This window comes from Homo sapiens, chromosome X, assembly GCF_000001405.40.
Source record: "Homo sapiens chromosome X, GRCh38.p14 Primary Assembly".
In the NCBI taxonomy this organism is placed as follows: domain Eukaryota; kingdom Metazoa; phylum Chordata; class Mammalia; order Primates; family Hominidae; genus Homo; species Homo sapiens.
In genome coordinates this window covers 81,206,169-81,233,503 of record NC_000023.11, presented here as the reverse complement: position 1 = coordinate 81,233,503, position 27,335 = coordinate 81,206,169, and the positions used below count along the sequence as shown (strand labels likewise).

The 27,335-nt window shown below is 35.6% G+C and overlaps 1 protein-coding gene across 3 annotated transcripts in view, besides 1 other annotated feature; it reads right to left on the bottom strand.

The window, feature by feature from the left end:
* The window catches only part of SH3BGRL (SH3 domain binding glutamate rich protein like), a 96,446-nt gene that overhangs the window by 65,044 nt on the left and 4,067 nt on the right, over positions 1-27,335 (bottom strand). The gene's annotated exons all lie outside the window — the stretch shown is intronic.
* Positions 6,272-6,802: an enhancer, noted in NCBI's record as "NANOG hESC enhancer chrX:80482201-80482731 (GRCh37/hg19 assembly coordinates)". NCBI's record gives its function as "activates a minimal SCP1, AML or CMV promoter by ChIP-STARR-seq in naive H9 embryonic stem cells {active_cell/tissue: H9 hESC(naive)}" and the evidence as "EXISTENCE:reporter gene assay evidence [ECO:0000049][PMID:30033119]".

Below are 27,335 nucleotides of genomic sequence, written 5' to 3'. Positions count from 1 at the left end.
CCTTGGGCAAGGTATTCAAATGCTCATGGATATCAAAGTCCTATATTCTCTAAACATATTTTAGGCACACTGATTTTCCTTATATCTGAATTCTTACAGCAGTGGTTTCTAATCTGTGGTCCAGAGATCTCTGTCGGGATGAAGAATATGGAGGGAGAAACAAGAGTTATTGTAAAGGGTCTACAAAGCTCTACGTATGCAAAGCACTATCTATAGACTGAATAAATAAGTCTTGCACTTAAACACACAACTATTTTTTTCAATATGTGTAGATGCTGTTGTTTAAACTAAAATACAAATTCATTTCAAAGTGTTACCAAATTCATGACAGCTTCTTGTTATTATTTGTTCTCCCAATCAATTGTAAAAATTCAACTACTATTATAGAAGATTTCCACTTTCATACTCAGAAAAGGTGAATCCCACAATTGCAAGTTGTATATGTATCATATAGTTGTATATCATATAGTTGTATGATATCCTCCAGTGAGAAGAATGAGGCAGTAGTCATCTCTAGCATAAAATTTAAGAAGGCACCAAAACCACAGTAGTCAAGATAAAAATACTTAGAAAAAGTTTTAAAAATAAAAACTAATGCAAAAACATATAAAGAATAAAATATCAAAAGTTTAAATAAAGACATGATCTGACAGGGCCAAAATACAGGTGAAGTGACTGAGGTGAGTCATAAAAGTTCAAGATCAGATGCTGTTTCATAAAAATAGTGAGGATTTCACCCTGCATGTTTTAAGAAGGAAAGACTAGGTCATTATTCCACAATACGAAAAGTGTTTATTAAAATGTACAGCTGGACCTCAAAAATAGTAAGCTAACCTATGTCATTGGTGCTTTCACAAAGAAACAGCTTGATTTGGCATGCAAGAGTGAGAGAGAGAGAGTGAGAGAGAAGGCATGAGAAAGGAGAGCAGGATAGGCATGTTAAAAGTTTGAATTTAGTAACAAAAACAATTCTGGGAGAGCATCAACTAAGTAGTAAAATCTTGCTATTCAGAAAAACTAGTAGTTAGCCTACATTTCTTTTCCAGAGGACAGGTGATATCATCTTCCTTATCATCATCATCATCATCATCATCATCATCATCATCACTAATTCACTACTATTTATTTATTTATTGAACCGTTACTGTATCCCAAGATCTACATTGAGAACTTCATCTTGTTTAGTCATCACAACTATTCTGTGATGTGTATGTAATACTATTACCCCTATTTATGATCTAAATTTCAGAGAGAATTAAATAACTTGCATTAGATGCTATGCATAGTAAAATATTTTAGGGACAATATGAGTTTAATAAGGTATACCTGTAATAATAATAAAACATATATAAAATATAGCTATAGAACAGTTACTGTTTTAAGCACTGTGCTAAGCATATTATCTCATTTAAACTTTATAACAGCCAGGTAAGTATTATTATCCCCAATTTTACTGAGGCTTTGAGGTGTGTGTGTGTGGGTGTCTGTGTAGACACACACACCTGTACAAACATATACATATACGTGTGTGTGTATATATATAGAGAGAAACACATAAAAACATGCATATAAATATATGTGAACATGCATATATATTCAGCATCTACTACGTGCTAGTAATGATGCTAAGTACCATGCAAATGATTTTATTAATTTCATTTGATAGCACCCAGAAAATATTGCTACAGCAGTCTTGGACCCAAAGCTGCCACTTTTACAACTAGTGTTTGCTAATGGCTTGCCATGAGTCTATCTGAGTAAGCTGACTGAGCTCCAAAAGGTTCTCCTTAGAATTATTGCCACTATAACCTATGAAAGCTGATAAAGACCACAAAACCAAAACAGCAATTCAGTTAAATTGATAATAGCTATTGGTTAGTAAGAGTTAGGAACCCTCCTTCTAATCAGCTACATACAGCAACAAACTGCTTTCCAGCAAAGGACAAAATCCTATAACACAGTTTACTACATTCTTTAGATCACTAGGTTCAGACGGAATTGATTTAAAAAAGAAAGTATCCAAAATGATATTCTAACTTCTCTCTTCTAAAAGTGATGAATATGAATAATGACACCCTCAAAGGCTAACATTATAGAGAAAATAAATAAAATAAAATTCAACTCTCTTTATTTAAAAAAGAAGCCTAATGACACCACATTTCACAACTCTTTTAAGTGATAAACTGAGTTAGGAGTGATAAGTATTCCCTTGACTCCAAATTTACAAATAGAACTTCATCTGTAAGTCCATCTTTTTAGACATGCGTCTGATGAAATGTGCCATTCTTATTGGCGGAAGCTTTTGTTTTCCTAAGAGATTAAGAATGAACAAAGCTTTTACTGACAGGCTGCTGCTAAAATAATATTTAAATCTATTTCTACATGAACATTTTCCAAGGTCAATCCAACCTGGCTTTTCTGACTTCTCTCCTTCAAGAGCCACAGACCACCAACTTGTGAACATATTTGCCTTACTTTTACATATCAACATATTGTTCTAACGAGCACTGATTCAGTGACCCAATTAGGAACCACAAGATATGAAAAATCTCATTTGGGGGCAAATAACTACAGAAGAAATCTAAGATTTTTTTTTATCTTAAAGAAAGTTAGGGGAATCCAGCTTTCACCCAATTTAGCTCAGAGTCAAAGCATAAAAACAGGAATCCACAGACTTATCTTCATGCGTCAACAGTCAGTTGGGGCCACACATTACAAGGATGAAAGAACTCGGGAATGTTATATGGACGAAAATAGTGCCAGTCATACCACCACCACTTTAAACTTGTATAGGATTTTAGAGTTTATAAAGTTTACCACTGGCTTTATTTGATCTCTCCTCTGACTTCAACTCCAATTTTATTGCATATTATTCAGCCTGTTCTGGCCACACCAGGGATTACCTGTGTTCCTCAAATATGCCAAGATAATTTCCTCTTCTAGGTCTTTTCAGTTGCTAGCCCTCAGCCTGAAATGTTATTTTCTTTGCACATCACATACCTGTTTCCTTCTTATTTCCTTTGGAACTCAGTTTAAACATCACCTCCAGAGTGGCATCTTCCCTGATCACATTATCTAAAGTAAGTCTACTGTTACACTCTCACTCTAAACTCTGTCCTCTTACTTCCTGGCACTTATCAGAAGTCATAATTACATACTTATTTATGCATTTACTTCTTTAACGTCTGTATTTTCCAGTAGAATGTAACATTAATGAAAGTAGGGGCTATGTCTATGTCTATCCTGTTCAACACTGAATCCTCAGTGCCTAGCACAAAGTCAAGCACATAGAAGATGCTCAAAATATACTTGTTGATGAATAACTGAATAATGAATATATAATCTCTTTCACTATGACAACTTTATGGAATAGGTAGGGGAGTAGTATTATAATGTATAGTCATTTTTGAGTTGAGGTCACTGAGGTTCACAGAAATGAAGGGACCTGCAACACAGCTATGAATGGTGGAATTCACACTCAACCTCTGAACTTCATACTGCAAGTTCAATGTCCCTTCCACTACGACATATGCCTAGAATTGATACAGAAGAGGAGCATGGAAGCGCTGGGAAGGAAAGGTTGTGGTCCCTGGCTAGGGCTCTATCCCTGGGCCTGTGCCCACAGACCTAGGTGAGGACAAGTATTTCTGTTTTCCTGCCCAAATGCTGCATTTCCCAAGACCACCTTGGCCCATCATGCCCCCATCCTGTGCCCATAAAAACCCTGAGACCCTACTGGGCACGCATACAAGCGCCTGGACATCAAGAGGAACACAAAGGTGGAAGAACACACAAGCAGCTGGATGTTGAAAGGAACACACTAGTGTAAGAGCACACCAACAGTCACTGGCAAGCCACCAACCAGCAGAACGACATGGAGTTTGGCCAGGGCAGTCAGAGGACAGCCCGGCCACTGAGCAGCCTGAATCCAGGGGAAAACCACCTTCCCACTCCATCTCCCTTCTGGCTCCCCAACCATCTGCTGAGAGCTACTTCCCCTCAATAAAACCTTGCAATCATTCTCCAAGCTCACATGTGATCCGATTCTTCTGGTACACCAAGGCAAGAAACCCCAGGATACAGAAAGCACTCTGTCCTTGTGATAAGGCAGGGTGGGGTCTAATTGAGCTGACTAACACAAGGCACCTACAGATGGCTAAACTGAAAGAGCATACTGTAACACACGCCCACTGGGGCTTCAGCTGTAAACATTCACCCCAAGACACTGTTGTGGGGTCAGAGTCCCACAGCCTGCCCATATGCATGCTCCCCCCAGAGGTTTGAGTGGCGGGCCACCGAAAAAGTGAGCCACACCCCCATGGCACATCCTGTAAGGAGTATACGGAACTTCTCCCATTTCAGAATCTCCTTAATTACTAATAACTCCATGTTGTTTAATCATGGACACTTGCTCCACAGCCTCTGGACACAAATTCTAGGGAGCAGAGACATTAATGGATCACAGACTTCCTTAAAAAGGAGCTATCCAATTTTCTAGGTTCTTTGTAAAAGAGGACTGTCATTCTACTCAGGACACTCAAGATTTCCAAACTTCAGTAATATCGAATTTTGAACCCTCTAGATGCTGTGTGTAACTCACAAGCTATAGCTCATATGTCACAGCTATAAGTCATTTGTGGCAAAGAGCTCTTAATGTCACTGTGTTGAGAAATGAATTTACATTATATGTAACAAAGTAATGTTACATATGAACAAAGTAATGTGAATTAACTATATACTGTAGACCAAAACATATGAACAAAGTAATGTGAATTAACTATATACTGTAGACCAAAAATAAAATTCAAAGCCCCCCAGCCATCTAAATGGACCCCTCCTCTTGGCTAGGGGCATTCCAAAGTTAACCTGAAAATCTAGTTCAGGCCATGATGGGAAGGGAGAACTGGTCATGCCTCATTATACCTTCCTCCCTTTTAAAATTACCAATAGAACAGGCTCTTTAAATTTGATAAGAAACATTTACAAGCTATTCTCTCTGAAGCATGCTACCTAGTGGCTTCATCTGCATGAGAAAACTTTGGTCTCTACAACCCCTTATCTTAACCCAGACATTCCTTTCTATTGATTCCAGATCTGTAGATAGTAACTCTTTCAATCAATTGCCAATCAGAAAATCTTTGAATCTGCCTATGACCTGGAAGCTGTCCCCGCTCCCAGCACCTGCTTCCAGTTGTTCTGCCTTTCTGGACCGAACCAATGTACATCTTACATGTATTAACTGGTGTCTTATGTCTACCTAAAATATATAAAACCAAGCTGGAGTCCAACCACCAACATGGGCACATGTTTTCATGATCTCCTGAAGGTTGTGTCATGGGCCATTGGTCACTTAGATATGGTTCAGAATAAACCTCTTCATAAATATTAGAGTTTGATATTTTTAGTTGACAATACTATGGCTCCTTACATGGAACATTTTTCTATTTAAACCCATTCATATGAACCACCACTAGAAAAGGACTATACATACTTACATGAAATCACTATAATTTTTTTAAGCCCTGGTGTCTAAAACTGCATACAAACTGCAATATATGAGAGAACAAGAAGCATCGTGGTCACAGTTTATTTTGTAATAACTTGTGTAAATTCACCAGACAGTGCAGAAATCCAAGAAAGAAATGAAGTATGTTATCATATGGGTTAATACTTCAGGCATTAGTTCACCAATGTACTTATCCCATTCTTGGTTTAGGCTATGTAACAGCACATTCGGCTTACAAGAATTATAAAATAACAAATAAAAATAGATAAAATTATATTATTTTAACAGTATTTGCAAGTAAATGTTATTATTATTTAAAACTTAAAAAGCAAATGGAATCATTATGTCTTTTAGAGATTTATCAAGATAGCAAGCAAAAAAGAAATCATTTCTAAAGCAAATGTAAAAACATAAGACAACTGATTTCCTTTAGGCAACTGATTTCCTTTAGGCTAGGAAGCAGTCAACAGTCCCAACAGTACAAGAATTTTTGCACATTCTTCGCACAGACTTGAACTCTAAGGTTTTCCAAGTGATGAGACAGGCCCCCTGTTCTCAAATAGACCCAGCAAAGTAAGGGCATAGGGGTTAGAAACTGTGCAGAACAGAACATTTTGTTTGTTTTTAAGAAAAATACAAAAATGCAACTGTTAAATAGGAAACTAACTGATCGCTTTAGCAATGGATCTGGAAATCTTCTGTAGATCAAAATAAAATGTGGCCATTTCAAATCCATAAAGTGATTGAAAACTTTCCACCATGTTTCTAACTGGTGTCAGGTCTAACAAACAATGACTCAGTAACTGATTTTTGATGCTCCATTTTTTCATAAGAATATCATTCTTTAGAAAAGTCCAATGTATTTATTTCAGATACAACTTCACAATTCTTATGACAATCTTGAAAGATCTGTAATATGGGCAATGTTAAGCTCAACCTTACTTAAAAGGAACAAAAGCAGTGACAGAGTTAAGTGAACTGCACAAGGATAAATGACTTAACAATGGCATAGCCAACAACTCTATTAAGTTTCCTATTGTCATTCTAACAAATCACCACAAATTTAGTGGCTTGAAACAACACGGTTCTAAAGGTCAGAGCTTGAAATTAGTCTTACAGGGCTAAAACCAAGGTGGTGGTAAAACTCTTTCCTTCTGAGGGCTCTAGGAGAGATTCTATTTTCCTTGTCTTTTCTAGTTTTCAGAGCCCATCTACATTTCTTGGCTCATGACTCTTTCCTCACATCACTCCAACCTCTTGTTTACATCATCATACCTCCTATTTCCCTTTATGTCAAAAATTTTCCCTCTGCCTTTCTACTAAAAAGACCGTTGTTATTACATTTAGGGCCCACCTTAAATATAAATATTAATAAAATATAAATATAAATAAAATATAAATACATAAAATAAATAGATAAAATATAAACAAAATATAACAAAAATTATATATATATATATAGAGAGAGAGATATAGATATATATATATAGATATATATATATATATAAATATATCCAAGACTACACTGAAGACTTACACTTAAGACTTTTGGATTAAACACTTTAAAAATATTAGGGAGGCTCAAATTAGAAGCTGGCAGCCAAGATTGTAAAGGGCATAAAATATATGCACCATATAGAATGTTTGAAAGAACTAGGAACGTTCAATCTTTAGACAGATAATCAAAAGCTGTTTTCAGAAAACTGCAAGGAGACATGCCAGGGATCTTACCTTAGGTGAAGTGCTCTAATAGCAAGGAGAAGATTTACTTCAGAATACAAAAATCCAAACCACTGGGTAGATGTTAGAAAGAACCACATTTTGGTTTAATTTTAAATTAAATTTAAATCCTTTGTACTAACTAGAGTTGTCTAACAATGGAACAACCTATCTGAATAATTATTAGAGGTGCCAATGGGAGGTGGTTGGGGAGTTGTTGGTCAAAGGACATAAAACTACCGTTAGATAGGAAGAATAACTTTAAGAGATCTATTGTACATAGCATGGTGATTACAGTTAATGATGATATATTGTACTAATAAAAAATGATGAGAGTAGATGTTTAATGTTCTTACCACAGAAATGAAAGCTATGTGAGGTAAAAAGAAATCATTCTTCAGAAGAAGAAATAATGTACTGCCAACACTTAGGTCAAGGTATCATTCTTCTTTCAGAGGACTGGGATTTATTTACAATATAATTAGTAGTGACCCATAATATTGGTTAACATTTCAACTAGGATCATTGTGTTTCCTTAGTCTTAATTATATAAAATTAATTGGATCTAGCTATTGTGTTATTCACAATAGCCAAGTCACAGAATCAACCCGTGTCCATCAGTGGATGATTGGATAAAGAAACTGTGATAAAAATATACACCATGGAATACTACTTAGCCACAAAAAAGAATGAAATCATGTCCTCTGCAGTAACATGGATGCAATTTCCCATTATCCTAAGTGAATTAACACAGAAACGAAAGTCAAATACTGCATGTTCCCACTTATACATGAGAGCTAAACAAAGAATACACATAGTCATGCAGAGTTAAATAATAGGCAATGGAGACTATTAAAGGTGAGAGGGTGGAAGGGGGGTGAGAGATGAAAATTTATCTATTGGGTACAAAGTACACTATTTAGATGATGAGTGCACGATGTAATATAGCGATGTAAGAAAACTGCATTTGTACCCCCTAAATTATAAAAATTAAAAAGAAAATATATAAATAATCTCCTGCTCTATGCTAAAACAGTTATTCCCCTAATACTGAAGATCTTATCAAATTTTATTTTTGTTGAAAGAAAAAATTAATGCTTTTCCATGGCTAAAGAGCTGGTTAAAAAAAAATAAAATTGGTACTGGAGATGTCAGAGCTTACCTCAGACTTGAAAGGCTTGAAAGAAGGCCTGAGTATTGAGTGAAATATAGTCTCTATTTGTCCGGAGTTTTTATGAGAAAGCCATCTTTGTTTCACATATCATTCATCAAGCAATTATCTGAACCATCACCTTTTTTTTAGAAAAGACTGAGGTTGAGTTAGCTTTTAATCAGCAAACTCCAAGAAGAAATAGCGCCTCCTTCGTGGTTTCTCTAGTGACTTAGGGGGAAAAAAAAAAGTGTTCCCAACTCCAGAGTTGAGGAAAAAGAAGGAGAAAAGACTATTGACAAAAACAACAACAACAAAAAAGATTGAACAAAGGATGATTCATAATCCATTTATTATACCATATCCAAAAATGTAGTTTAAGAAAAATGCAGTGGAATCATAAGTGAGGCTCAAAATAAACTTTTTGTATACAATGAAGTTAGTAAATACAAACCATCTTAATCTCACAGGGTAATTGTGACCTGAAATAATGCCTTCTAGTATCTATTCTTGATTTACTCTTAGTATTGCCTCCAATTATATGGTTTTGGGTTAAGCACGTAACTTGTGCCTCAGCTTGTCTTCCTGACATTATAAATTGTGTTTTAAAGAAGTCACATTAGAGTTTTAACAAATTATTTTGGGCTGCTAATGAAAAAAAAATCCTTTCTTTCAAAGAAATTCAAAGCTCTTGCTATTAATCACATTTTAAAAATCTAACTAGCATTCCTAGGAAGTAGAGTTAAGGTCATTTCTTTCTTACGTGGTGACTGGGGTTGGGGAATGGGATGAAACAAAGGTTAACCCATTTCCCTAAGGCCCTTTACGCCCCAACACAGGGTTTCCTGGTTGATTAGCATACTGACGATGACAAAGATTTCTAACAAGTTAGCAGTAAACTACATTAAAAAGTCACAGCATTAAGTATAGAGTTCTAAAACAGTGATATTTCTTCTACAACAACAAGCAGTATAATTCAAAGTTTTATGATAAAATTTTTCTGGAAATTGAACCTTTTAAAGCATTGCATTGGGTATTACATTAGCCATGTCATGTAATTTTCTTCATTTATAACACTATCAACTATCATGAATGAACAACTCCCAATACTTGAGCTTTAGGGAATTACTGACTAAAGAATTTGGCCAGGTGCAGTGATTCACACCTGTAATCCCAACACATTGGGAGGCCAAGACTGGAGGGTCACTTGAGGCCAGGAATTCAAGACCAGCCTGGGCAACATAGCAAGATCCCATTTCTACAAAAAAAAGTTTTTTTTAATCAGTCAGACCTGGTACTAGGGAGGGTACTGAGATGGGAAGATTGCTTGAGCCCAGAAGTTGGAGGCTGTAGTGAGCTGTGACTGCATCACTGCAATCTAGCCTGGAACACAGAGCGTGACCCTATCGCAAAGAAAAAAAAAAGTTTAAAACACTAATTTTAAAATTGGTTTTAATTCAGTATGTCTTGAGTTTCATATAGGAATATTCCCCTTATCACATGATCTTACACTGTACTGATCCACAGGCAGAAGCAATACACAGAAAGCTTCCTAAAAAGAGAAGAGAGGTAGAAAAGAAAAAAAAAATCATCAGACTTATTTTAAGCTTTTCAAAACAAAATTAGCTCTTTCAGAATTAAGGCCTTGTTCTCTACAGAGTTGAGTATTTTATCAGTGGGTACTTAGGAAATATATATTAAATTGATAACTACTGGCTCTCCATGTATTGTATGGTGCTTGATTTCCCCTGCTTCCACAGTTTCAAGAATCTGATCTCCCACTTCACCACAAAAAAAAGAGGTAAAAAGAAAATGTTAGACCTAAAACCATAAAAACCCTAGAAGAAAACCTAGGCAATACCATTCAGGACATAGGCATGGGCAAGGACTTCATGACTAAAACAACAAAAGCAATGGCAACAAAAGCCAAAATTGACAAATGGGATCTAATTAAACTAAAGAGCTTCTGCACAGCAAAAGAAACCACCATCAGAGTGAACAGGCAACCTACAGAATGGGAGAAAATTTTTGCAATCTACTCATCTGACAAAGGGCTAATATCCAGAATCTGCAATGAACTCAAACAAATTTACAAGAAAAAAAACAAACAACCCCATCAAAAAGTGGGTGAAGGATATGAACAGACACTTCTCAAAAGAAGACATTTATGCAGCCAAAAGACACATGAAAAAATGCTCATCATCACTGGCAATCAGAGAAATGCAAATCAAAACCACAATGAGATACCATCTCACACCAGTTGGAATGACAATCATTAAAAAGTCAGGAAACAACAAGTGCTGGACAGGATGTGGAGAAATAGGAACACTTTTACACTGTTGGTGGGACTGTAAAATAGTTCAACCATTGTGGAAGTCAGTGTGGCGATTCCTCAGGCATTTGGAACTAGAAATACCATTTGACCCAGCCATCCCATTACTGGGCATATACCCAAAAGACTATAAAATATGCTGCTATAAAGACACATGCACATGTATATTTATTGCGGCACTATTCACAATAGCAAAGACTTGGAACCAACCCAAATGTCTAACAATGATAGACTGGATTAAGAAAATGTGGCACATATACACCATGGAATACTATGCAGTCATAAAAAAGGATAAGTTCATGTCCTTTGTAGGGACATGGATGAAACTGGAAACCATCATTCTCAGCAAACTATCGCAAGGACAAAAAGCCAAACACCGCATGTTCTCACTCATAGATGGGAATTGAACTATGAGAACACATGGACACAGGAAGGGGAACATCACACACCGGGGCCTGTTGTGGGGTGGGGGGAGGGGGGAGGGATAGCATTAGGAGATATACCTAATGTTAAATGACGAGTTAATGGGTGCAGCACACCAACATGGCACATGTATACATATGTAACAAACCTGCACGTTGTGCACATGTACCCTAAAACTTAAAGTATAATAAAAAATTAAATAAATAAAAAAGAAAGAAATCCTTCAATGGTCAGCCAGATTTCTGTAATCTTAGACGCAGAGTCTAGGACAACAAGGAATAAAGTATTACTGCAGCATATTACCAAAGGAGGTTGTATATTTCTTTCCTTGGAGAATTTACTAAGAGAAAATTGATAATAATATTTCTGGGACAATTCACAAACAGTCCTTACATGGATGGACTAGATGATTTCCCATGATCCCTTCTATACATATGCTTCTAATATTTTATTTGCAATATGTTTGATGGTGATAAAGGTGGAACAGACTAAAAGTCAATTTCTATACAATGGAGAAGGAACTTTCAGTGTTATGCTCAAGCTTTCTTAATAACAATTGACATTAATAACAAAAAAGAGTAATGTTTTACTGCATGACCTTTCTACCTAGATATCATTGTTTTAGTTCACCTAAAGCACCATTATAAAATGTGGAAAGCCATAATGCTATTTTAAAAAGAACAACCTTGATGCTAGGACAAAATTTATCCACTAGAGCAACAGGGCCCAAATGGATTCTTATGCTTATTAACTCCTGGGAGTAAGACACCCATTTTGCCAGAGTTCAAATGTTTGCAGTAGGGATTGTTACAAATATACTGGGGAAAAAGATAAAGGGGAAAGGTGGAGCAAAAATTATCTTTACTTATATAGTAATCTGACGGAAACCTAAGGAGAAATAATTACTTTAGCACTTAGACTTTTTGCCATACAGTTGGCCAAAGGCAACCATTGAGCAGCCACAGCATTGAAAATTCTGGCACAATAGGTGATTCTTATCAAGTTTAATTGTAGCAGCGACATGAATTAACTCCAAAAGTTAAGAAGGGGGTGAAGAAGATATATGCAACAACCGCTGGAGCACCCAGATATATAAGGCAAAAATTATTAGAGCTAAAGAAATAAATAGAGCCTAACACAATAATTGCTGGAGACTTCAAGACCTGTCATTCAGCATTGGACAGATTATACAAACAGACAATCAACAAAGAAATATTAGAATTCAGTTGCCCTGTAGAACAAATAGATCTAATAGATATTTACAGAACATATCATTCAATGCCTGCAGAATACACATTCTTCTCCTCAGCACATAGATCATTCTCAAGAATAGACCATATGTTAGGACACAGAACAAGTCTTTAAAAATTCCTCAAAAATGAAATTATAACAAATATATTTTCTGAACATAATGGAATAGAACTGGAAACCAATAACAAGAAGAATTTTGGAAGCTATCCAAACACATGAAAATAAGACAATATGCTCCTGAGTGAACAGTGGGTCAACGAAGAAATTAAGAAAATTGAAAAATCTCTTAAACCAATAAAAACAGAAATATGATATACCAAAACCTATAAGATACAGTGAAATATATAGTAAAAAATAAAAGTTTATAGCTATAAGGGTGACTTAAAAGGTTTTTAGAAAAACTTCAAATAAACAACTTAAAGGTGCATCTCAAAGAACTAGAAAAGCAAGATCAAATCATACCCAAACTTAGAAGAAAATAAATAAATAAGGGCAGATCAAAAATAAATTAAATTGAAATGAAAAAAAAACACTAAAAAAGATCAATGAAACAAAAAGTGGGTTTTTTGAAAAGATGTAAAGAATGGACAAACTTAAGCTCAGAATAAGAAAACAGAGAGAAGGCCCAATTAAATAAAATCAGTGATTAAAAAGGTGATATTACAACCAATACCACAAAAATTGAAAAGATCATTAGAGGCTACTATGAGCAACTATATGCCAATTAATTGGAAAACCCAGAAGAAATTGATAAATTCCTAGACAGATACAACTTACAAATATTGAACCATGGAGAAATCCAAAACCTGAGCAGACAAAAAACAAGTAATGAGAACAAAGCTGCAACAGAGTCTTCCAGCAAAGAAATGCCAGGACCTGATGGGCTTCACTGCTCAATTTTATCAAACATTTAAAGAAGAACTAATACAAATCCTATGTCAAAGTATTCTGAAGCAGAAAAGAAGGAGGAAATACTTCCAAACTGATTATACAAGGCCAATAGTACACTGGTACCAAAACTGGACAAAGACACACCAAAAAAAGAAAACTATAGGCCAATATCCCTGATGAACATTGATGCAAAACTACTCAACAAAATACTAAAAAAATGAATTCATGAACACATTAAAAAGATCATTCATCATGACCAAGTGGAATTTATCCCAGGGATGCAAAGATGGTTCAACAGATGCAAATCGATCAATGTAATACATCATATCAATGGAATGAAGGACAAAAACCATATGATAATTTCAGATGATGCTAAAAAAGCATTTGATAAAATTCAACATACCTTCATGACAGCAAGTGTCAAAATACTGGGGATTGAAACATACCTCAGCATAATAAAAGCCATATATGAGAGAATCACAGCTAATATAACACTTAATGGGAAAAAAACTGAAAGGCTTTCCTCTAAATCTGGTACACGACAAAGATGTCCACTTTTACCACTGTTATTCAACATACTACTAAAAGCCCTAGCTAGAGCAATCAGACAAGAGAAAGACATAAAGGGCATCCCAATTTGAAATAAAGAAGTCAATTTATCCATCTTTGCAGATGATATGATGTTACATTTGGAAAAACCTAAAGACTTCACCAAAAAATCCCATTAGACCTAATAAATAAATTATGTACAGTTGCAGGATACAAAATCAACACACAGAAATCAGTAGCATTTCTAAATGCCAATAGTGAACAATCTGAGAAAGAAATCAAGAAAGTAATCCCATTCACAGTAGTCACAAACATAATAAACTACACAGGGATTAACTTAAACAAGTGAAAGCTCTCTACAATGAAAACTATGAAATATTGATGAAAGAAACTCAAGAAGACTGAAAAAATGTACATATATAAATCTACATATATATGTAAATATATATATATAGTTACCTGATGCTTTTGCCTCACAGCTCTTAAGATTCTTTCCTTTGTCTTGATTTTATGTAACCTGATGACCATGTGCCTAGGTGATGATCTTTTTGTGACAAATTTCCTGGCTGTTCTTTGAGCCTCTTGTAGTTGGATGTCTAGATCTCTAGCAAGGCCAGGGAAGTTTTCCTCAATTATTCCCTCAAATAAGTTTTCGATTTCTTTCTCTGATTGTTCACTGTTGGCATTTAGAAATGCTACTGATTTTTGTGTGTTGATTTCGTATCCTGCAACTGTACATAATTTGTTTATTAGGTCTAATGGGATTTTTTGGTGAAGTCCTTAGGTTTTTCCAAATGTAACATCATAACATCTGCAAAGATGGATACATTGACTTCTTCATTTCAAATTGGGATATATCTATATCTATATCTATATCTATATCTATATATACATACAGATATATATGTGTATATATATCTATATCTATATATCTGTATGTGTATATATACAGATATATATACATATCTGTATGTGTGTATATATACACATATATATCTGTATATATATATATATACATACAGATATATAGATATAGATATAGATGTATAAAACCTGTCAGATTAACAGCAGACTTCTCAGCAGAGACCCTACAAGCCAGAAGAGATTGGGGTACTATCTTTAACCTCAGTAAACAAAAACAAAAAAAAATAAGCTAAGAATTTTGTATCCAGTGAAACTAAGCTTCATAAATGAAGGACAGATAAAGTCTTTTTGAGACAAACAAATGTGGAGACAATTCCCCACTACCAAGCCAGCACTGTAAGAAATGCTAAAAGGAGTTCTAAATCTTAAAACATAACTTTGAAATACACCAAAATAGAACCTTCTTAAAGCATAAACCTCAGAGGACCTATAAAACAATAACACAATTTTAAAAAAAGTACTCACACAACAATTAGCATGATGAAAAAAATCTCTCAACACTAACACTGAATGTAAGTAGCCTAAATGTTCCACTTAAAAAATACAGAATGGCAGGATGGACAAAAATCCAACCACCAACTATTTGCTGTCTTCAAGAGACTCACCTAACACATAAGGACTCATATGAACTTAAGGTAAAGGGGTGGAAAAAGATATTCCATGCAAATGAAAACCAAAAGCAAGCAGGAGTAGTTATTCTTATATCAGACAAAACAGACTTTAAAGCAACAAAAGTGAAAAAAGACAAAGAGGGGCATTATATAATGATAAATATATCAGTCCAACATGAAAATATCACAATCCTAAATATATATGCACTTAACACAGGAGCTCCCAAATTTATAAAACAATTACACTAGACCTAAGAAATGAGACACACAGCAAAACAATAACAGTGGGGAAATTCAATACTTCACTGACAGCACGAGACAGGTCATCAAGACAGAAAGTCAACAAAAAAACAACTGACTTAAAGTGTACCCTAGAACAAATGAACTAAACAGATATTTACAGAACATTCTACCCAACAACTGCAGAATATACATTTTTTATCAGCACATAGAACATTCTCCAAGATAGATCATATGATAGGCCACAAAACAAGTCTCAATAAATTTAAGAAAATGAAAATTCTATCAAGTTCTCTCTCAGACCACAGTGGAATAAGATTGAAAATTCACTCTAAAAGGAACCCTCAAAACTATACAAATACATGAAAATTAAATAGTCTTCTCCTGAATGATCTTTGAGTCAACAGTGAAAATCAAGATGGAAATTTAGAAAATTCTTTAAACTGGATGATAATAGTGATACAAACTATCAAACAGCAAAAGCAGTGCTAAAAGGAAAGTTCCTAACATTAAAGGCCTACATCAAAAAGTCTGAAAGCACAAATAGACCATCTAAGCTCACACCTAATGGAACTAGAGAAACAAAATCCAAACCCAAACCCAGCAGAAGAAAAAAAAAATCAAAGATCAGAGCAGAACTAAATGAAATTGAAACAAAAAATTAAAGATAAATGAAACAAAAAGCTGGTTTTTTGAAAATATAAACAAAATTAATTGACCATTAGTGAGATTAAGAAAATAAGAGAGAAGATACAAATAAATATATATAAATAAAATGGCTTTTATCCAAAGACAGGCAATAACATGCTGGCGAGGATGTGGAGAAACGGGAACCCTCATACACTCTTGGTGGTATGGTAAATTAGTACAACCACTAAAAAGAACAGTTGGGAGGTTCCTCAAAGAAACTAAAAATAGAGCTTACATATATGTGATCCAGCCACCCTACTGCTGGGTACATATCCAAAAGAAAATGGATATATCAAAGAGATAGCTGCACTCCTGTGTTTATTGCAGCACTATTCACAATAGCCAAGATTTGGAAGCAACTTATGTGTCCGTTGACAGATGAATGGATAAAGAAAAGGTGGCACATATACACAATGGAGTATTACTCAGTTATAAAAAGAATGAGATCCTTTCATTTGCGACAACTTAAATATAACTGGATGACATTATTTTAAGTGAAATGAGCCAGGCACAGAAGGACAAACTTTGCATGTTCTCACTTACTAGTGGGAGCTAAAAATTAAAACAATTGAACTCATGGAGATAGAGTAGAACCATGATTATAAGAGACTGGGAAGGATAATGGGTAGGGTAGGGAGGATGGGGATGGTTAATGGGTACAAAAATATAGATAGAGTCAATGAATAAGGTCTACTATTTGACAGTGCAACCAGGGTGACTATGGTCAACAATAATTTATTATACATTTTAAAAACTGAAAGAGTATAACTGGATCATTTGTAACACAAGGAAAAGATAGATGCTTGGGTTCATGGATTCCCTATTTATCCTGATGTGATTATTGTGCATTATGTGCCTGTATCAGAGTGTCTCATGTGCCTCATAAATATGTGTACCTACTCTGTACGCACAAAAATTAAAAATTGAAAATTAAAGCAAAAACAAAGTAAATAATGCATATTGATATATAGAATACTGAACTAAACTTCAAACCAAACTGTCAGGAATCCTATAACCCTTGGAAAAGAGAGGGAAAAAAAACAAGGAGAGCAGGAAGAGTGACAAACAGAAAGTGGTTGAGATTATAAATAAAGGAATGAATACAATTCAGATTTTTATAAGACATAATTGTTTACACAAAAGATCAAAGCTAGGATGATCTCAAGGTGAGGGAATTATAGAAAAGTCTAAAAGGCATTTTTTAGATAATGAAAAAGGGAATTTAGTGGGCTTTGTTCCATAATCCCAGGCTAAATGTTAGAAACAGACAATGAAGCCACAAATCTTTAATTTATTATGACTGCAACATTTGGCTTTAATCAGAACTGTATAATAGTAATGTCTTTGTGGAATGTTCCGGTATAAAAAGGAAGTGCAAATTGTGCTTAGGATCTACTTTCCACACTTCTGTCTAGTGAAATGGCAAGAAAATTGGGTAACAGTTCAACTGAACTAATAACTTATCACTTTTCAGAACTGTCATTCAATAAGAAGATCATTGTCAGGGGGACTGGAAAGGGTAGGCAGAATATATTTGCACACTGGTTGGGGGACAGGAGAATGCTAATTTCTATGAGGCAGCTTATCAACAGGCAGGCAGAGAGTCCCTAAAGTACCTCTGCCTTGACTCCTTTCTTATTTGCAGACCATGTAACTTAGTCCCTCAAATTGACATCCCCATACTTTCTCCTTCATTCTGGCTCAGGGAGGAGGCTGAGAAAATCTTTATTCCTGGCCTTTTCTCGTCCTTCGGAGCCTGGGTCCAGAGTTTAGTCCAGTGGCTGGCAACAAGTATATTCTCAATGAATGAGTGAATTTGAGGGTGAAAGCAAGATAATTCCTAAGCACAAATCATAGATTCAGAATCGGCAGGACCTATCTACATAATCTATTCAAATTGTCCACCCTGTGCAAGGCTCTGCACTTGAACATCTCTGCCAAGTGTTTATATGGTACATGTATGTGCACATACGATCAAGTTAGTTCAATGTAAAAGTATTGAATGTAGAAGTATGAAATTCTAGGGGAGAGAGTTTATGGAACCGGAGCTCCATAAACTCTCTCCACTAGAATTGAATAATGTCATTGATATGGAATCCCAAACTTCTGATTTAATTCCATTTTCCTTTCTTTATCTTCTTTCTTGAATAGTATTCACCAGATCTTAAGTCAGCCCAGAAATCTTAAAGGAAGTGATCTGCCTACCAATTTTCTAACCGTATACTCTTTCCAGCCTCCTAGAAGCTAGGTTGGCATTAGCGAGAAGGGAAAATAAGTGTAAAGTATTAGATCAGTTATACTTTCTTATGACTAAAATAATCCATCCCATAGCCAGAAGTCAAAGTTTAAAAAGCAATATGTTCTAAAGAATCAAACTGATCTTTACTAAATTTCAGCAAATAAATGGTGGTAATAAAAATTGTCCAGCTGTTCTTCATACTTTTTATGAGAACTTTGACTTTCCTGCTTATTTTTTACGAGGGTAATAAAATGCTTTTTGAAATAATATGCATTTGTCTGATAAAATTATTCATTGGGCATTCTCAAGTAGAACAATATAAAAATATTTATTTGCTTTCATCCTTTCCTATCACAAATATTCATGTTCTGTCTCTGTCACAATTTCCAAATATTAATTGTTGAATATTTCAGCCACTAGACACTGAGGTAGTTTAAAGTTGATTCTATGGTGAAATTAAAGAATCAACAATGATCTGATAAATCTAGGCTGGGAAAACAGACAAACAGGATTTTTCTAGGAAAAATTCCAGTTCGCTTAATTTTCTTCTTTTTTAATAACGCTGGAATAATATCATTTTATTTTAACTATTTTCAGGAATCTTCTTTTTCCTTTCCTCTCACCAAACTAGTCAAATATTAGTCTATATACTCATCTCTTCCTCATTATTTGCTCCATTTCTTAACCTTTCCCAATCAGGCTGTTGTTTTCACCAATCTACTGAAACCGCTTTTCTCCAAGGTCACTAATCATTTCCTTATTTTGAATTCAATGACCTTTTATCAGTTTTCAAAATTCCTGTATGGAACTAACAATGTTCATTGTCCTTGAAAATTCTTCCCTACCATGGTTTCTATTACAAGATGCTACTCTGATCTTTCCTAATGAATCCACGTGTTTCCTGCTGTTCCTGTTTCTTTCACCTCCTCCGAAATGTGAACATTCAGCAAAGTCCTGTCTTTGTTTTCAGCTCTCTTCTCATCTCATGCCATAATTCCTTTTTCCTAGTGAGTTCATTCTTTTCCATAGTTTGAAGTAGCACCTATACATAAATGACTCCCATATCTACTCTCCGTCCACCATCTTTCCCAAACTCTAGTCACACGTTTCCATCTAGCAGCTGCAAATCTCCACTTGGGTGGCCTGTTTTGCACTTGAATTTCAACAGGCCATCCACTCATATGTGAAAAAATATTTATTTAAAAACTTACCAGTTTATAATTATATTCTGTGTAATAAGAAGTGAAAGAGGTAGATGATAAGTTGCTACTCATCACTTTGTTGAATTTTGAAATAGTACTATTCTACAGTAGAGTTCTACAAAGTATTTTTAACTTTTGACGGGTCCATTAATAAATGAGGAGGAAAGTTAAAAAAAAAACTGTAACAATATACCCCTTGCCTCAAAATCTGTTCATTAGGAACAGAAATCTGCCTTATATAACTTGAAACAGTTGCTAAGAGGCAATTGCTAAAGCTTAAGGAAATATTTAGGAAAAATGCATAACGCTATTATGTGCAACATGCCATCTATCTTTTTATCATATGCTTTTACCTAGCATAATGACTCACCATTAATCATATGAAATAAAAATTGCTATATATTTTTACTAAAACATACACAAATTAATGCCTACCATTCCAACTTCAAATATTTGAAGAAAGTGTATGACATCAAGTGGTGGTACTTTGTGGAGGTGTGGGTGTAGAATTCGGTCATGATTACCTCAATCACTGGGAGATAGTCAACTATTTTTTTCTTATAACTGCTTTTGGAGAAATCCATGTTCTGACAATCCAAGGTTTCAAATTTCATTTTCTTCCCCAAAATCTCTTCTCTTACATGAGCTGTTGCACAAGACAGAATCTCATTTTTTGTGCTAATAGCTCCTTTTGAGCCATTCTCCATATATTTTAAGCAATATAATGTTTATGCACTCTATCGCTAGTTTTATACTTCAACGAAAAAGTACAATTCTAAGACTTTCCTACTCAACCACATTATGAAATGAAAAAAAGTCAATTCAATCTCTGTAAGTGAATAATTTTCAAAAAGTAATTAGACATTGATTTACAGTAAATCCACTTGGACATGTAGACATAATTTTGACAAGATCGTATTAGATGCTTTGAGTTTTCATGAAACCTAGAGTGACTGACTTTGGAAAGTGCACACATGCTGTGTGTCTGGTGGGACCTGTCCCAAGCAGTCCCTGGCATTTGGGCAGCATAAGGATCCCCTGGGATGTGTACTTTACTTCTCGAGTTCAACTCATGGGTTGAGTCAGATTAAATCCCAAGTGAGATATGCACTCCTCTATTAAGCTCCCCATACAGCACCTAATCATAGCCACACAATTTCTAATTGGATATAAACACACACTAAACAAAACTCATTCTTCAACTTTAACTTAAAGATCTAATAAAAAATCCTAATCTGATCTGATGGGCAATTTGTAAATGTTTAGTCACATTTTTTTCACAATATTTTTTACTTGCCTTTCAACATCCTCTTTTTCAAAAAAAAAGAATGAATTCAAAGCATGAATTCAAAGTCGAGTATAAAATTGTCCTTACTTTGGATCTTGTCACACTTCCATTTTGCTCACTTTAAAACCCACCAGGTGTTTGTCTTGTTACCTGGCAAATTGTCTCATCACCACCAACAACCCTGATTGTCCCCTCAACATTGTTTAGAAAGTTTAAATTTAACATCTTTATTCTTTTTTTTTTATTTTTTATTTTTTGTAGAGACAGGGTCTCACTTTGTTCCCCAAGCTGGTCTCAAACGCCTAGCCTCAAATGATCGTCCCCCGCTGGGCCTCCCAAGTTACTAGGATTACAGACATGAGCCATTGTGCCAGGTCTACCTTTACTCTTGTTTCAAGTAGAAATTCACTGAAAATATTTCACCCCAACTACTGAATCCTTTGAGAAGTTAAAATTATTTACCTGAATCACAAGACCAATTATGTTTTTTCTGAAAGTCTGAGATCAGATTTCATTATTTTTAGTAATAAATTTCCAACAACACTTTGTATTAGGGTTCTCTTAGAGGGGCAGAAGTAGTAGGATATATGTGTGTATATACATATATATATATGGAGTTTATTAAGTATTAACTTACATGATCACAAGGTTCCACAATAGGCTTTCTGCAAGCTGAGGATCAAGGAGAGCCAGTCCAAGTCCCAAAACTGAAGAACTTGAAGTCCGACGTTCAAAGGCAGGAAGCGTCCAGCACGGGAGAAACATGTAAAGTGGGAGGCTAGGCCTGTCTCTCTTTTTCACGTTTTTCTACCTGCTTTATATTTGCTGGAAGCTGATTAGATTGTGCCCAGCAGATTTAGGGTGGATCTGCCTTCCCCAACTCACTGACTTTTTTTTTTTTTGAGACGGAGTCTCGCTCTGTAGCCCAGGCTGGAGTGCAGTGGCACGATCTCGGATCACTGCAAGCTCCGCCTCCCGGGTTCACACCATTCTCCTGCCTCAGCCTCCCGAGTAGCTGGGACTACAGGCGCCCGCCACCACGCCCGGCTAATTTTTTTTGTATTTTCAGTAGAGACGGGGTTTCACCCTGTTAGCCAGGATGGTCTTGATCTCCTGACCTCGTGATCCGCCCGCCTCGGCCCCCACAAAGTGCTGAGATTACAGGCGTGAGCCACCGCGCCCGGCCTCAAATGTTAATCTCTTTTGGCAACACCCACACAGACAGTACCCAGGATTAATACTTTGTATCCCTCAATCCAATCAAGTTGACACTCAGTATTAACCATCACACACTTCTAGAAGCTTTCTTTCATGATACTCTTCATTTTAAGTTACTCATATTCAGCTTGTGAGAATGATGAGAGGCAAAGAAAGTTTTATGACCTACTCAAATCACACAGGCAATAGCCAATAAAACATATCTCACCCTTACAGCTAAAAAAGCTTTAAAATCCCTTCAAAAAACAATTCATCTTATCTACTTTTCATTAGATTGCAATAAAATGATTTTCTTAAATTGAGATAAAGGTACATGTTCTGCATTCTAACTAATAGTATAGGCTGAGCTCTTATAACTTTGATTGTCTCCTCTGATAAACTCAAGTTCTCCACTTGATGTAACAGACCACCAGAATTATCCTTAGTATTTCTATAGACCACGTATTGCTATAGACCAGTTAATTAAGAAGTATTTTTCATGGTTTTTCAAGTTCATCAGAAAAGAAGTATTACAACGACTTGTAAATCAGTTTCAGAGCTGCATTCAGAGTGGGTAATTAGTGAATATCATCAAGTGGGAAGAATAGCATAGGGCTTCAGATCATGGGCCCTGGAATCAGACAAACCTGGGGGGTACTTTACTAGCTCTGTGACCTGGCTAGTTCTCTGAGCCTCTCTTCTTAAAAACAGAGATAATAAGAGTACTAGCTTCATTGAATTGTCAGAAAAATGAAACAATACATGTAAAGTTCTTACCGGTGTGCCTGACTCAATGAATTATAGCTCTTAATATTATTACCCACTAAAGCTGACAATTTGCATGAGAAATTAAAGTAAGATGATTGATCATATGTTTAATAAATTAAGTAATTATATATGCTTGTCTTCCTTCTAAATCAAATTTGATATAACATACTGAAGAGAACGGTCTCCAATATCATACAACTACTATTAAATATATATTTACAGATAATTTTAACAGAAAAACATGCTGCACTTATAATGAAACAACTGGCTGAAAGGTGATGGTGAAACAGAAAATTTTCTCATGTAGTAAATGTTACCTAAGATGAATATTCTCTGGTGTTTGAAAGGTGAAATTTTATTTGTCTTGACTCATTTTTGGAAATCCCCCAAGCAGAAAGGCTTGGCTAGACCCTAACTCTAGGATAGGGTCTCATTTCCAAAAAGGACTAAGCCAAAGGGACAGAAATCAAGGACTAGAGTCTAAAACCAGAGTTTACAAGTTATAGCAGTACTGCCTTCCTGGTTAATTTAGATTTACAGAATCATAGAAACCACCTTTTAATTATGTTGGTCTATAGCCACATAACATGCAAGAGAATCAGTCATAAAAATTCAGTATGTAACACAGGCCAGCATAAGAAAGTACAGACAAATATTATTTTTAAGTGTGCCCTCGATGAATTCATTTGATTTTAAAAAAAGAACCACATTTTAAAAGAACATGGTGCTACTATCCTCCCTACACCCAGCCTGCCCACCAGTGCCAACTCTCATCTCACTCTCGAGTACGGGTTATGAATGAGAACACATTTGCCTACTTAGACATCATCCCCTCTTGAATGGCAATTGTATTTCAAAATCATATAACAGGATTTTTATGTAGTATTGACAATTTCTATTCAATACCTATAAACAGAGGATGTGTAAATAACACAGTGTTTAGGAGTGGGTTCTGAAGTCCGAACAACCAGAGTTCTGATCACAGCCCTGTCATTTCTAGCTCTTCAGTCTTGACCAATGTACCTATGTTTCTGGATCTTAGAGATACCCCCTCCAATTAGGTAAAATGAATCTAATAGTAGTTATTACTATGTTAAAATATTATTGTAAAGATAAATTAAGTAAAATAATGTAGGTAAAGCCCTGGGCACCTTGCCTGACATATACAATGCATAAATAAGTGTTGTCTTTACTATTACTAAAGTCAAATCTTAGCAGCTGAGCATGGTGGCTCACGCGTGTAATCCCAGCACTTTGGAAGGTCGAGGAGGGCGGATCACTTTAGCTGAAGAGTTTGTGACCAGCCTGGGCAACGTGGTGAAAACCTGTCTCTACCAAAAATACAAAAGTTATCTGGGCCTGGTGGTGCATGTCTGTGGTCCCAGCTACTTGAGAGGTTGAAGCAGGAAGATCGCTTGAGCCTGGGAGGCAGAGATTGCAGTGAGCCAAGATCATGCCATCACACCACAGCCTGGGTGACAGAGTGAGACTCCGTCTTAAAAAAAAAAAAAAAAAAAAAAACTTAGTTATGCTAACGAAAGGGCAATACAACAACAAAAAACCTAGCATCATTGAACACTTAAATATACAGTCTTTGAATTTGTTATGATATTTTTAAACTTATATTTGAATTTTTTGCCTGATGTTCTGGCAATCTGCAAGATTTCAAGCAAACCTAATAAAACCAACAGGCAAGACCTGGGCTAGAAAAAAATCTCCTTGCTTAAAATTCTTCTCTGCTGCCCAAGTGTAAAAGGTCAGGTTTGTCTCTCATATTAATGAAAACAGTCATCATAAATGAACCGCCTCGTCTCTCTAAATGTACTTTTGTTTAACCTTGGTCTGGATTGAAGAAAGTAATTAAAGACTGGGTTTAAAAGGCCTCCTAGTGGGCCGCAAAGTAGATCTGAAAGCAAACAGATGGTCAGATAGTTAACCAGCAGCTTCTCTCTTAATCTGTTTACTTGTATCAGTAAGAAATGAAATACAAAATTCAACCTTGATAATTCCATTAAAGCAGGAAATGTTTTTGTAAATGATACTTGGTTAATTGCACAATATATATTTCATAAAAGATTTTAAAGATTAGCTACAGAGAACATTCAATCTGATTGACATTTGAGGTTTATTTATTTTTTCCCTAGGCTAACCCTGGTGGAGGGTTTATTGATCAAAACCCTTCCTCAACAAAGTAACTAGTCTTTGTGCTAGAAATAAGTCCATTTTATCTTTCTCTTCTACCAAATAATGATTTTTTTTTTTGAGACGGTGTCTCGCTCTGTCACCCAGATTGGAGTGCAGTGGCACGATCTCGGCTCACTGCAACCTCTGCCTTCCGGGTTCAGGCCATTCTCCTGCCTCAGCCTCCCAAGTAGCTGGGACTACAGGTGCCCGCCACCACGCCCGGCTATTTTTTTGTTTTTGTATTTTTAGTAGAGACGGGGTCTCACCGTGTTAGCCAGGCTGGTCTTGAACTCCTGACCTCGTGATCCGCCTAGCTCGGCCTCCCAAAGTGCTGGGATTACAGATGTGAGCCACCGTGCCCGGCCCAGATAATTAATCTTTTACTAAACTTTCACAATATATTCTTCCCTACAACCATGTAACATTTAAGCATCTTTTTAAATGCCCAAGAATCACCATCACTGATCACTGATCAGCCTCTTTTTGGGCCAAATTCTTCCAATGTTTCTGTGAAATTTAGGAAATCAGCCATCAAATACTAAGCATCAATTTGAAAGCACTGATCTTGAGTCTCCACATTTGCCATGTGAAAGCTGCCATTTTCCACTGTTAGGGACCTCCAAAAAGTATGTCCCAGTCATTTGGTGAACAGTTTCTAATTTTAGTCTTCTAAGTGAACATCTTCTATGAACACCTTTAAACAACATTCAAACAAACTTTGGAAGATATGACAAAAATCCTTGCATACACAAAATCAATGTTTAATGTATAAATACAGACAGAGCAGCAAAACATTCTGCGCCTAAAGTACAATTATTTGAGAACCACATAATGAAGAACTGTGTCTTGCTCTTCTATATTATCCAGATGAAGAAAATACTGTGACTAGTGACTAATTACACAATCCAGAACATTGTTTTATCTGTTGTTATAAATTGTGCAGAGTACAACCATAGAGAAAAATTATGTATATTTGTGAACAATCCAAGCTACAACTAGCTTCTGTTTTATCAGTTATATAAAATACATCAATTTTTAAAAGTTACTTCACAATTAAAACCCTAAGAAATCATCTATTTCCCACAATCTTAAAATTTCTACACCAAGGCACAAATAGAATGCATAGATGCCATGAAATGGAGATCATTATGGGTCTTGGGGAAATATGTATAGGGAAAAAACTCCCAAACCAGTTAAAATTCTCCAAGCTATCATCTCTCTAGCAATTCTCATCCTAGGCCAATGTTGATTTTTGTTAAGAAGTTATTGCAATTTATTAACTTATATAGGCTCTGAGATTACTATTCATTTTCCATTAAATGTAAATTTACAAGGCATTACAATCTCAAGAAACAAAACGTGGCATATACCTGTGTCACAGTGAGTTAAGACATGTATAAACAATTCTGAACAGGCAGAAATCACTTCATATAGACAGACTACTTGGAAGCTGCATTCTTGTTAAATGGTTCCCATCAAACTAAACAGTATTAAGGCCTGAATTTTATACCTTGACCTATACCAGACCAGTTTAGGCTTTCCAACTGTGTAGGTCTTCTCTATCTTCTTGGCCTTGGGTGAACAGTCACTTACCCTACTTACAGACATTCCCTTTTAGACACAATATCCCTCCTACACACTAGCTGCCCATTTCTCTATTCCCCTATATGCACATGCCCAGGCAACTCTTCTTCCACTTACAGGACTTACTTCCTCCCCTACCTCTTACTCGTGTTCAAATTTATTTCCTCATGCCTACTAGTTGCCATAAATCACTGGGAGGATGCATTTCTTGGTGGTTAAGTACATATTCTTTGGATTCAAACATCTTGCTTGGATTCAAGCTCTATGGCTTACCAACTGTGTAACCTTGAGAAAGTTATTTACTCTTTGAACCTGTATACTGTATTTCCTTCTCTGAAAAACAGAGATAATCATAGTGCTTAATTCAAAGGATTATTTTTAAAAATGAGATAGTATCTGACATACTTAGGGGCTTCTACTGACTATCATTATTATGGTTACCATCAAGAAGTCCATTACATTGGTCTGGGCAAAGATTTTTTGGGTAAAACCTCAAAAACAGGCAATGAAAGTAAAAATAGACAAATGGAACTATATTAAGCTAAAAAGCTTCTGCACAGCAAAGGAAACAATCAATAGAGTAAGGA